Genomic DNA, 13,960 nt, shown 5'->3' with positions numbered 1-13,960 from the left:
ATGTGTGTTTGGAGTTCCAAGCTAAGGAATCCAGAGTGGCCAACCTGGAGATACATTCCTTATCTTTGAGGAACATCTGAACCCTGTCCCTAACATCCCATGAAATGTGGACTATACAGGGGATTGAGGCCCTTTGTTTTGGGTTAAATGAAGGTCCCAGGTGGAGTCTGTTATGGGGAAGATGTTAAGTGAAAATGCTCCATAAACTGCGTGCCTCTTGCAAGCCATTGTAGTTCTCCTGTCCAGCCCACCACCCCTGGGCTACATGGTTCTTGTCCAGCCTGCTGCCACTGGGCCATCCCTGTGTATAAGTTTCCTGCTAATAGACCCTATGTCTTGTTTGCTGGCTTTGGGTCTCTTCTTTGGCCTCTCAAACATGGTACCATCCCTATTGAGGTTAATAGGGGTCTGGTACAACATCGGTGTTGCTTAAGCCACTAAGTCTATGGTAATTTGTGACATGGCAAAGAGAAGTAATACAACGGGGTTTGGGGAGACTCTGTCCCACCAACTGCCTGAAATGGGACATGAAGCCCAGCTCAGACCAGTGCAGTGGCTCACACCTGTAGTTCCGGTGCTTTGGGAGGCTGAGTTGGTGTTGTTCCAAACCCCAATTCACCCCATTGGGGGTGGCACCAGGTTCAAGAGGCCAAATAGTTCAAGAGCCAGCAAATGAGACAGGAGGTTTTACCGAGGGCTTACATACAGTGGGCAGAGTCCAGTGGTGGTGGGCTGGACAGGAGAACTGCAACTGCTTAAAAAAGGCAGACAGTTTCTACGGCATTTTCACTTAGCACCCTTTCCCTAATAACCTCCACCTGGCAACCTTGATTTGATCCAAAATTTGGGGCCTCAAGTCCCTGGATAGCCTGTGTTCCACAGGACTGGCCAGGGACTCAGATGTTCCTCAGACAAGGAATAAATCTCTGGGTTGGTCACTCCCAGATTTCCTAGCACTGAACACACCTTCAGGTGCATCTGCCATGCAGGGTCATTCTCAGGGAAAGCTCGTTATTGCTCTCAGGTGTGTTTACCATGCAGGCTGGGGGATGGCTTAAAGCCAGGAGTTTGAGACCAGCCTGGGCAACATAGCAAGGCCCCTTCTCTGCAAAAAGTTTAAACTAGCCAGGCATGGTGGCATGTACTTGGAATCCAAGGTACTCGGGAGGCTGAGGCAGGAGGATCACTTGAGTCCAGGAGTTCAAGGTTACAGTGAGCTGTGATCCTCATTGCACTCCAGCCTGGAGAACAGAAGAAGACCCTGACTCAGAACGAAATCCAGCTCAAGGCCCCACATGGACAGGTGCGTGCAGCAGGGACACGGCATTGCCTAGTGCAAGAGAGTGTGTGGCGCCTCTAGTCCTGACTCCAGGCGGATGTGACTGTATACCATGCTGTCTGAAAGGCAGGAGCTGCTAGTGTACTGGCCAGCAGGGAGATGCCAGGTGCCCGTTAGGAGCAGCCACACGCAGGCCAGGATAGGAACCTACTTCTTAGGGCAGTGACATTTTTAGGTGGGGATAAAATGAGATGCAGATGAACCCCTGCCTTCAAGCCTGGAGAGACTCAGGGATGCATTACTTTTCTCTCTGGGAGATGAGGATACTATGAGGCATGTCGGTTAATCAGACAGATATCAGGGACCTGATCTTCCAAATATATCAGCTCATTCAAAGAACATATGAGTAGCTGTTGAGTAATCAGGAGATGTTTCTCATTTGGATTCAGGAATTCAGATCTATAATGATGAGCTTTCTGTGGGCAAATGTTCACACAGCTACCTGCCTGGGTCTTAGGCTCACCACTGGAATGGGAGCTGTCCACTCACCACTCACCACTGGCATGGGTGAGCTGTCAGGGAGAGGCGATTGGAGCTCTATCCAAGTTGAGGGATGCTCAGATGCTACCAGTCACACAAAGTTCACAGCCATCTGCAGCAACTCTAGCTTGTTTGAACTCATGGCTACAGGAACTTGAGCCCTGCTCCAGCATCTCACCAAGACAGAAGCCCATCAACAGCAGCACCCTGTATACGATGACAGTTTTAGCTTATCTTTGGTAAGTACCAGGGCAGTGCAACATCAGCTGCATAAATATTTTCCTAAAAGAGCTGTCAACAGACCATTTTGAACCCCTGTAGCTGCCCTTGCTGGCCACACAGGAAGCTGGCTCTTCCCGGTTTCCCATAGAAATTACACAGGACTGTACAACTTGGGGGCTTTAGATTCCAAATAAGGCTGTGGTTCTTAAACTTGGATGCAGACTAGAATGTCCCGGCCATATCTCAGATATGTAATATCAGAATCTCTGCAGGTAGGTACCAGGCATCAGTATTTTTTAGCAAACTCCTCAGATGATTCCCAGGGGCAGCCGAGGATGAGAACCACTGAAGTCAGGGTCTTTACTGCTTTATCATCTCTAGCATGTAGGCCTGAAGTTAAATGATCATGGGACATCTATACATATTTGAATGTAAATATATAGGTATTCATATATACAATGAACGATATTTGTAGGTATATGATATATTTATTTCTTTCCCTTCAAAGCAACAGACACTGCCAGGCATATAAGTTGAACTGCAACAACAGAATGTGATGGATTTTAGCATCCCATAACTGTTTATATTACCCCTTTGACCTTTAATAATAAAACAAAGTCATGTTTGGTGACCAATAGGTTAATACACTTACCTTCTGCCTTTGGAGTTGATTCTCAACATACAGCCTCGGGGATGGGCACTAGTCAGTCCCAGGCAGGTTTTTGGCAGCGGAACGGGACTTTACTTTCCTGCTGGATCCTGTCTGCCATCACCACCATCACAGCTCCAGACTGCAACTCCTGGTGTGATCTAGCCTACAGAGGCACTCGGGAGTCTGTGGAACCTCTAGCCTGGAGTGATGCAGGAACTATCACCATGGGTCCCAGCCCTAACTTCACAATCATCTATGGAGCAAAAATATACCATCTTAAAACAGAATCCAGTCTTCCAGAACTACCAGTTCGTCGTCTCTGGGGTTGGAGACCAGGTAGTAGAATTTTTGAAGAACTCCAGAAAATCTGGCTGTTTTTGAAAAACTCAACGTGTCTCCTAAATAAATGTCTCAGTCATCATTTCAGCACTCAAGACACAGATTCCACCTTGTCTCATTCCACTTACTCGTTTGTATAAGAAGGTTGGATGGTAGTAGAAGTGGCATTGGAAGCTGACACATTAAATCAAAATCTTGTGTGCTTTCTCAGACTCACTTTTCTGTCTTTCTCCCTTATTTGGCATAACCCACCTGAGTCACTTTCTACATCTAGGCTAAGATGAAATGTAACAATTTGGGATATGTTCTCTGGTTTTCTGAGAGATAGACAGGAGCTAGAGGATGTAATCCTTGATCAACTAGAAAGGGTGTCCTTCCTCTTTCCCTTCCAAGGGCTGGTGTGAGTTGCAGTTTCTTCTCCTTGCAAAACATCTGAAGAAAATCTCAGTGTTCCTGGTAAGCATGCCTGCTTAATGACTTGCGGTGTCCTGGTCAGTGCGGTAATGCATCACGTTATATTTTTCATCTTTCTTTCCTCAATTCCACCTTTGCTTTCACTCTCACTGCCCTGGGCTTGCTTCAGGATCAACTTTCTGAAGGGCCCAATCAAAGACAGCAGCACTAGGCATAGGCACTACAGTATGCAGAGGGTGCTCTTAGAGCAGTCTTATGAGGTAGGCCCCGCCATCATCATCCTCTCCATTTTATGAATGAAGAAACTAAGGTTGGATGCCAGCTGAAGCCACTGTTACTACACAGCAAGTCAGACGTAAATCTCCCGCCTCCATAGCCCATGACTCTTTCCATTCTCCTGCATAGCCTCCCAACTGCCATGACAGGGAAGGAGGGGGAGGATGGGATGTACATGTGTGAAATGTTTCTGCTGGGAGAGGGGTAGGTGCAGAAAGATCTGGACAGGGAAGGAAGACTGCTGTGAAAAGAGGAGACTCCTTTCACCACCAGAACTCTGCCAAATTCATAGGCACACCACAAGAAAAGTCAGGAAATTCTGGTTTAGAGCAACGTGTGAAAGGACGGTTTATTTTTTATGGTTAGATTCAATGTTGAATTACTCTTGTCAACTTGCCGTAAAACTTCTAAAGACTTAACTCTCAATCTCTGTTCTTACGTCATCATGGACAGGTAACACATCACTTGCCAATCACATTTTTGAGTAGCACTGACCTGCAGGACATCAAAGACGCCAAGCTGATACTTTTGACATTTGCTATTGGCCTAGGAATGACAAGGAGTGTCCGGCCTGCCTTCACCCTTCTGTGGGGCTCTGGGATTAAGGCACAAGTGCAGACTCGGGAGGCTGGTGGCTGCACATGGGGATGTAAGACTCTCATCATATACCTTCCAGATATGGGGTTTCAACTTACCACATTTGCACAGATGAACTACCACAAGCTTAGGTGTGCTCTTCTCAGGCTTAAGTTGGCCTAATGTCTGGAAAGAGGGACAATAATTTAGTTTTCTCATTCCAGAAGTCCCAACAATCCCTTGAGCCTCCAAAGATAAATAGTTCCAATATGTCATGAATCTATTAAAGGTGTTTCTACCTAGGTGGTATCTTCCTAAGTACCCAGTTCTTGTTAGTAGCGATGATTTTCCTTTTTTTGGTGGTTAACCTATTCTTCCAATAGCCAGAAACACAGCCTTTTAAAGTAGTTACCTCAAATGATGTACGTTAGCAATATGAAAACTTTTTTTTTTTTTTTTTTTTTTTTTGGAGACAGGTTTGCCCAGGCGGGAGTGCACTGGTGCAATCATAGCTCACTGCAGCCTCAAATTCCTAGGCTCAAGCCATTCTCCTGCCTATGCTTCCTGAGTAGCTGGGACTACAAGTATGTAGCACCACATCTGGCTAACTTTTAAAATATTTTGTAGAGACAGTGTCTTGCTATATTGCCCAGGCTGCTTTCGAACTCCTGAACTCAAGTAATCCTACCTCAGCCTCCCATGGCACTGGGATTACAGGTGTGAGCCACCGTACCTGGCCTTGAAAACAATTTCTGTTAATCAAAATTTGCCTTTACCTTGTGAGTTAATTGAAAAATCAGGAGCAGTCTATTTCTCGTACAGTATCTAATACCTCAGTGATGTCAAATATCTGGTAGGTGAAAAACAATTCTGCCTTGTGGGAAGATTGAAGAGGTAGGCAGCGCTATGAAATGTCATAAGCTGGCAGCATCTTTGGATGGCAGCAGATGGTTTTTACTTGTTTACTCACCAGCAGTTTACACTTTCAGGGATCGGAGTCATTTTCCTAAAAAAATGAGGAAACGGGGGACCCTAACACCAGGCCTTGCAACTCTTGAGTGAGTGAGCTTCCTCTGCGTCACTTTCCTCAGAATTCTAGAAGTGTTTTAGATATTTTAACAGCACGTGGCACCTCTAGGGAGCTCGTTTTCCCTTGACCACACTTAGAAAGAGTCAGTACAGTGCTGAGGCGCGCAGCCCACCCACTGGGCCCTGAGCTGTGTGGGAGAGGAAAAGCATCGGCTGCACTCCGTAGGAAATGCTGACTTAGAAGTTTGAAGAAGGAAAGGGGGAAAAAATAGGCTCTTTAGGTTTCCTTACTCAATTTAAAGATGAAAGCAGGCCAGGGAAATCGTTTATTGGTACAAATTGTGGAAGCCTGACCCTATTCTTAGAGGCCCAAATTGGCTCTTGAATACATTTTTTTCTTTTGCTAGAGTAAGGGATTATGAGGGTGAAATGAGGGTTTTATATTTTTTGGGTGATGTTTTATTTTTAGATAATTTTAGTCTCAGTTGCAGAAATAGTACAGAGTTCTCATTTATGCTTCACCCAGTTCCTGCTTATGTTAACATCTTCAATACCCACAGAATGTTCATGAAAACTAAGAAATTAACCTCACTACAATAGTACTAATTAAACTGCAGACCCTATGTTTTTCACCAGTTTTTCTATTCCAGGATTCAATCCTGCCTCAGTCTCCCAAGTAGCTGGGACTACAGGCATGCACCACCATACCTGGCTAGTTTTTGTATTTTTAGTAGAGATGGGGTTTTACCATGTTGGCTGGTCTGGAACTCCTGACCTCAAGTGATACGGCCACCTCAGCCTCCCAAAGTGCTGGGATTACTGCCGATTACTGTGGTGTTCTAATAGTGGTTTATTTCCCTCATTCCTTCTACATTTGTCAATTGGAATTCTTCTGAAGGGGAGACTTGTCAATTCTCCCTCATTTGAATAAAAGTGTATCAATGTAAATTTATATCAATATGGACTCATAGATATTCATCTTACTTTTTGTTACAATCTAATCACTTATTTTTGCCCCCTCAAGTCAACTTTGGCCTTTGGGGATGCTTTCAGGTGGCTCCTGTGCTCTTTCGATACGGCTACATCCTTTATATATTTGTTTTATGGCACTTCTTTACTTCCTGCACCACAAGATACTCCAGGCTCATTTTGTATTTTCTCTGCCCCAGCCCTAGAATTAACTGGTTCTCCAAGGAGACTTTAATTGGAGAATGGTATTTAGAAACCAAGATATGGGCAATGGATGTACTCATTGCTCCTGGAGTGCAATTGTGTCTAGGCTGTCTCAGTGGAGAGTTAGGTAATATAGGTACATGTAATAATTTATGTCTATGCACACCTCTTTTATTTCTGTATTTATCTGAATGTGAGTGTGCATATCTTTTTTTTAAACATGAGTCAGCATGATAACTAACTACAGTCCAGCACTGGAGTTTATTCTAGCTTTTCTCCTTTCCATATTTGTAACTTCTTTATCCAATAGTGAGAAACTGGCTCTGCAGTATGCACTCATGCATCACTTAAATGATAGGAATATATTCTGAGAAATGTGTCGTTAGATGTTTTTCATTGTGTAAACATTGTAGAGTGTACTTACGCTAACCTAGATGGTAGAGCCTATTATACATGTAGGCTATCTGCAAGCCTAGTGCTCCTAGCTACAAATCTGTTGAGCATGCTACTCTATTGAATACTGTAGGCAGCTGTATCACGGTGGTAAGTGTTTGTCTTTCTAAACAGAAATGAAACAGTAAAAATACAGTAAAAGAATAAAAATGGTACACCTGTATAAACTTTCCATAAATAGAGCTGGCAGGACTGGAAGCTGCTCTGGGTGAGTTAGTGAGCAAGTGGTGAGTGAAAGTGAAAGGTTAGGACATTCTGTACACTAATATAGACTGCATAAAACACTGAAGACTTAGGTTACACTAAACTTATAAAAAACATTCTTCAATAATTAGCCTTAGCTTCCTGTAACTTACCATATAAACTTTTTTGACTCTTTTGTAGTAACACTTAGCTTAAAACATGCTGTACAGCTGTATAACATCATTATATCCCTATTTTACAAGCTTTTTTATATATTAAATTATTTATTCTTTTTTACTTCTTAAAATTTTTGTTAAAAATGAAGATACAAACATACACATAGGCCTAGGCCTACACAGGGTCCAGATCATCAATATCACTGCTTTCCACCTCTATATCTTGTCCCACTGAAAGGTCTTCAGGAATCATAACACACACAGAGCTGTGATGTCCCATGATAAAAATTCCTTCTTCTGGAATACCTCCTGAAGTACCTACCTGAGGCTGTTTTACAATTAACCTTTAAAAAAAACTGTAAAATAATTATAAAAAGTATAGGATAATAAATAAGTAACATGGTTATTAGCAAGTATTATGTACTGTACATAATTGCATGTGCAGTGCTTTTGTATGACTGGCAGTGCAATAGGTTTGTTTATACCAGCATCACAACAAACACGTGAATAATGTGTTGCACTCTGACATTGCAATGGCTATGACGTCACAAGATGATGAGAATTTTTCAGCTCCATTATAATCTCATGGTACTGCCATCATATATGCAGTCCATTGTTGTCTGAACATCATTATGCAATGCGTGACTGTATTTATTCCTCTCAGGTATACAAATAATTTCCAAATTTTTAACCTAAGCCCCTGTGAGGATACATATTTATCAGCTAGAATATAGTGTTTGTGTGCAGGTCTTTGTCTTTAGCCTCATCGTATCAAATCAAAACACTTCCAAAAGTGTTTTGATAGGTGATAAATGGTAGGCAGTGTCTTATGTTAGGTGTATATTCAACTTTTTAAAAAGCTGCCAAATGATTTTCCAAAGTGGCTGTACCATTTTGCATTTCCACCAGCAGTATATGAGAATTCCGGTGGCTCTGCATTTTTGTCAGTACTTGGTACTGACAGATTTTTTGGGAAAACTACTCAGCCTCCTTTCCTCAGTTTCCTAATCTATAAAATGGAGGTAATAATAGTACCTCCCTTATTCGTTTATATGAGGGTTAAATGAATCAATATGTGTAAAGCACTCAGAATAGGTTTGTCAGATAAAATACAGGACACCCAGTTAAATTTGAATTTCAGATAAATTTTTTTAGTATAAATAATCCCAAATATATAATATTTTGAACATACTTATACTATATTCTAAAAGATTTATCTGAAATTTGAATTTAGCAAATAAAAATACAGAATGCCCAAGTTAAATTTGAATTTCAAATAAGAAAAAAATATTCTTTAGCAGAAATATGTCCTGAGTATTACATGGGATATCTTCATACGAAATATTTTATTTATCTGATATTTTAGGGGTCCCATTCTGGGGCTCCCTCCACCTCAGCTTAGTCTCAAGAGGATTGGAACTCTTTGCCAAAGGAATTTCCAAATATCCATGAAGAAGATGTAGGAGGAATTCAAAGGTTCTTGGGTGAGTTTGAACTATATCTCTTGGTAGGGTATTTGTATTAGTCCATTTTCACAATGCTGATAAAGACACACCCGAGACTGGGCAATTTACAAAGAAAGAGGTTTAATAGACTCACAGTTCCACGTGGCTGGGGAGGCCTCACAATCATGGCGGAAGGTAAAAGGCACGTCTCACATGGCAGCAGACAAGAGAAGAGTGAGATCCAAGCAAAAGGGGTTTCCCCTTATAAAATGATCAGATCTTGAGAGACTTAACTCACTACCACAAGAACAGTATGGGGGGAATCGCCCCCAAAATTCAATTATCTCCCACTGGGTCCCTCCTACAACACGAGGGAATTATGGGAGCTACAATTTGAGATGAGATTTGGGTGGGGACATAGCCAAACCATATCAGTATTTAACTAAAGTTTATATTGAAGTTGAACATGCATACACACACGTGCACAGCTCACAAGAGCACAGCTGGATCAGTGTTCACAGTCAGCACCCCCAGAGATCCAGCCCTTACTAACCCACTGTTCTGACTTGTAAGACAGCAGACTAATTGGGAGCTGGCAGGCTTTTAAGCAGATTTAAGAAACTGATATCTTTTCCCCCTGCAGATTACTTGGGAATTTCCTGAGAGTTTCCTCTCAAAATAGCATCCTTGGGGCTTTCTACTAAAAGTGGGTCATTATCCTTTTAAATAAAATTGGCAAAGGGAGACAAGTCTAAACCAAGAAAGGGATCTTATAAATAAGGGGTCTTCTGGCATGCTGGCAGGTGGAAATCAATTGGAACAACCTTCAATTATATTTCCTCTGAAATCTTTTTCAAAGACCAGATAAAAACAGCAAATTTGTCCTTAGCATTTTTCCATGTGCCAGGTGTTCCATTTGTTAACTTCTATAGTACTTACAGCAGCCCTGGGAGGCAGGTGTTGCTATTGTCCCCATTTTCCAGATGAGAAAATCAAAGAGAGGCAAAGTAACTTGGTCAAGATCTCATGGCCAGCAAGTGCAGGGCTTGGACCTGAACCCAGGCAGTTTGGCTCTGGAGTCTGCTTTTAACAACCACACTGCACAGCCTTACAGATCTGGTGGGATGCCCTGTCAACTGCTTCTTACTTTAAGATGGAAATGTAGCTCTCAATCATGTTTTGCTTCCCTGGAATACATCTTGTGTTACTTTTAACAATTGTTTGGACAAGTGAGTTTTGCCTGTCCTTGTGCAATTGTTTACTAGGGTTTCCAAAGCAAAATGCCAGACTGGGTGGCTTAACAGAAATTTACTTTCTCATAGTTCTGGAGGCTGGAAGTTCAAGATCAAGGTGCTGGCAGGGTTGGTTTCCTTTGGGGTCCATAATAGAAGAATCTGTTCCAGGCTTGTACACAGCCCCTCTCTTGCTGCCTCATCACATGGTCATACATGTACATATTTCAAAACAACATGTTGTCATGGACACAAAGAAAACAGTAGATACTGTGGCCTACTTGAGGGTGGAGGGTGGGGGGAGGGTGAGAATAAAAAAACTACCTATCAAGTACTATGCTCATTACCTGGGTGATGAAATAATCTGTACACCAAACCCCCACGCCACACAATTTATCCATGTAACAAATCTGAACATCTATCCCCTGAACCTAAAAGTTGGAAAGGTAGAAAAAAAACTGTTGTACACAAGAAATATATACAACTTTTGTCAATTTAAAACTAGAAAAAAGGATATTTTAGCACTGTGAGCCAAAATGTTCAATTATAGGTGTGACCTAGTGAAGGGTAAATGGAGCTGAGAGCAGTAACTTCAGCATACCCTGAGAATGAGCCTGTATGGCACACACACCTGAATGTGTGTTCTGCACTAGGGAATGAACCTGAAGATTCATTCCTTATCAATGATAAGTGTCTGAGCCCCAGGCCTGTCCCGTGGAACATGAGCCATGCGGGAGATCGAGGCTCTGAGTTTTGGTAAATGAAGACTGCCAGGTGGAGGCCATTAGGAGGTGAGTGTTGTGGTTTTCCTGCCCAGCCCACCACCACTAGACAGGCCATGCGGTTATCTCATCCAGCCTGTCAGCACTGGACTATTTCTATGCATAAGGCGGTTCTCCTGTCCAGCCTGCTGCCACTGGACTGTCTCCCCCATATGCAAGCCCCTAATAAAGCCCCATGTCTCTTTTGCTGGCTCTGGATCTCCTCTTTGGCCTGTCGAACCTGGTGCCTTCCCTATTGAGGTTAATAGGGGTTGGGCGCAACACCCAGAGAACCCCTACTGCATGTGCAAGGAAGGTCATGTTCACATCGTACATAACAATAACAAAAGAAATTGAAAATAAGTTGTAGTATTAGTAGGATGGAAATCTACACAACAGAAGAATTACCTAGACCTAGATACATATCAGTATGAACAAATCTAAAAGATAAGAGTGTTGATTGGAAAAAGCACATTGCAGGTAATCTGTGTACTCCAAAAGTGGCTGCATAAATTTACAAGTTTTTAAAAAAGCAAAAAAATCCGTACATTAGTCCACCCTTATCTGAGGTTTTGCTTTCTGTGGTTTCGCTTATCCAAGGTCGACCATGGTCTGAAAATATTACATGGAAAATTTCAGAAATAAACAATTCATAAGTTTTACATTGGGGGCCATCCTGAGTAGCAGGATGAAATCTCACACCATCCGGCTCTGGACATGAATTCATCCCTTTGTCCAATGTTTCCATATTGTCAATGCTACCCACCCATTAGTGGCCTCGTAGCCGTCTGGGTGATCAAATGAACTGTCACAGTGCTTGTGTTCAGGTAACCCTTTTATAAACTGAATAATGGCCCCAAGGTGCAAGAGTAGTGATGCTGGCATATTGTTGTAATTGTTCTATTGAATTACTAGTTATTATTGTTAATCTCTTATTGTGCCTACATATATATATATATATGGGGTTTGGTACTGTCTGTGGTTTCGGGTATCCACTGGGGGTCTTGGAGCATGTTCTGTGAGGATAAGGAAGGGCTACTATATTAGTTTGCTAGGGTTGCCATAGCAAAATACCAGACTGGTGTCTTAACAGAAATTTATTTCCTCCCAGTTCTGGAGGCTGGAGTTTCAAGACCAAGGTGTCAGCAAGTTTCATTTCTCCCGAGGCCTCTCTCCTAGGCTTGCAAATAGCTCCCTTCCCTGTGTTCTTCCATGGGTTTTTTCTGTGTGCGTGCATCTCTGATGTGTCTCTTTGTGTCCAAATTTCCTCCTCTTATAAGGACACCAATCAGATTGGATTAGGGCTCACCCTAATGACCTCAATTTAACTTAATCACCTCTTAAAGGCACTGTCTCCAAATATGGTCACTTTCCGAGGTACTGGAGTTTGGGCTTCAAGGTAAGAATGACGGGGGCAGGCACAAGTCAGCCCTTAACACCTTGTATTGTTTATTGGCCCTAGCTCAGTGTCTAGACTGATGGTATTAAAGAGTCCCCAGCCAGATGTAGGACTAAGTTAAAAAGTGAGTTAGTAGAACACACCCTCAGTAAACCCGAACAGCTGTCCAGACAGCAGTCAGGGGACAGAGTGGGGGAGAGGTGATGGGTAATGATCTGAGCCTGAGGTCTCCAAATTCACTGGAGAGGGTTTGTAGCTAATGGAGCACTGATTTCTCATTGCAGGTGATAAATCTTCCTAATGGCATTGCGAACACATTGTTCTAAATTTAAATATTTTAATATTAATTTATTCTAATACCACCTCAAGTGAATAATGAACAACACTGTCAGCTGAATTAAAAAGAGAAAAGAGTTCAATCATTGTAGATTCTGGATATTAGCCCTTTGTCAGATGAGTAGGTTGCGAAAATTTTCTCCCATTTTGTAGGTTGCCTGTTCACTCTGATGGTAGTTTCTTTTGCTGTGCAGATGCTCTTTAGTTTAATTAGATCCCATTTGTCAATTTTGGCTTTTGTTGCCATTGCTTTTGGTGTTTTAGACATGAAGTCCTTGCCCATGCCTATGTCCTGAATGGTAATGCCTAGGTTTTCTTCTAGGGTTTTTATGGTTTTAGGTCTAACGTTTAAGTCTTTAATCCATCTTGAATTGATTTTTGTATAAGGTGTAAGGAAGGGATCCAGTTTCAGCTTTCTACATATGGCTAGCCAGTTTTCCCAGCACCATTTATTAAGTAGGGAATCCTTTCCCCATTGCTTGTTTTTCTCAGGTTTGTCAAAGATCAGATAGTTGTAGATACGCGGCGTTATTTCTGAGGGTTCTGTTTTGTTCCATTGATCTATATCTCTGTTTTGGTACCAGTACCATGCTGTTTTGGGTACCGTAGCCTTGTAGTATAGTTTGAAGTCAGGTAGTGTGATGCCTCCCGCTTTGTTCTTTTGGCTCAGGATTGACTTGGCGATGCAGGCTCTTTTTCAGTTCCAGATGAACTTTAAAGTAGTTTTTTCCAATTCTGTGAAGCAAGTCATTGGTAGCTTGATGGGGATGGCATTGAATCTGTAAATTACCTTGGGCAGTATGGCCATTTTCATGATATTGATTCTTCCTACCCATGAGCATGGAATGTTCTTGCATTTGTTTGTATCCTCTTTTATTTCCTTGAGCAGTGGTTTGTAGTTCTCCTTGAAGAGGTCCTTCACATCCCTTGTAAGTTGGATTCCTAGGTATTTTATTCTCTTTGAAGCAATTGTGAATGGGAGTTCACTCATGATTTGGCTCTCTGTTTGTCTGTTGTTGGTGTATAAGAATGCTTGTGATTTTTGTACATTGATTTTGTATCCTGAGACTTTGCTGAAGTTGCTTATCAAACAAACAACCCCATCAAAAAGTGGGCAAAGGACATGAACAGACACTTCTCAAAAGAAGACATTTATGCAGCCAAAAAACACATGAAAAAATGCTCACCATCACTGGCCATCAGAGAAATGCAAATCAAAACCGCAATGAGATACTATCTCACACCAGTTAGAAGGGCAATCATTAAAAAGTCAGGAAACAACAGGTGCTGGAGAGGATGTGGAGAAATAGGAACACTTTTACACTGTTGGTGGGACTGTAAACTAGTTCAACCATTGTGGAAGTCAGTGTGGCGATTCCTCAGGGATCTAGAACTAGAAATACCATTTGACCCAGCCATCCCATTACTGGTTATATACCCAAAGGACTATAAATCATGCTGCTATAAAGACACAT

The 13,960-nt window shown here is 42.2% G+C and overlaps 1 protein-coding gene across 7 annotated transcripts in view; it reads left to right on the top strand.

Annotated features, from left to right (window-relative positions):
* STEAP1B (STEAP family member 1B) overlaps positions 1-13,960 on the top strand; it is an 80,745-nt gene that overhangs the window by 23,529 nt on the left and 43,256 nt on the right. For 2 of the 7 annotated variants that reach the window (XM_047420109.1, XM_047420107.1), the window contains exon 5: positions 3,426-3,488. The exons of 3 other annotated variants lie outside the window; for them this stretch is intronic. In XM_047420109.1, the coding sequence (XP_047276065.1) occupies positions 3,426-3,488 (63 nt within the window). Of the gene's footprint in view, positions 1-1,777; positions 3,245-3,425; positions 3,489-13,960 lie in introns of those variants that run through there. 2 more of the 7 variants (XM_047420103.1, XM_047420104.1) reach the window with 1 other exon arrangement.

This window comes from Homo sapiens, chromosome 7, assembly GCF_000001405.40.
Source record: "Homo sapiens chromosome 7, GRCh38.p14 Primary Assembly".
In the NCBI taxonomy this organism is placed as follows: domain Eukaryota; kingdom Metazoa; phylum Chordata; class Mammalia; order Primates; family Hominidae; genus Homo; species Homo sapiens.
This window is presented reverse-complemented; position numbering and strand designations above follow the sequence as displayed.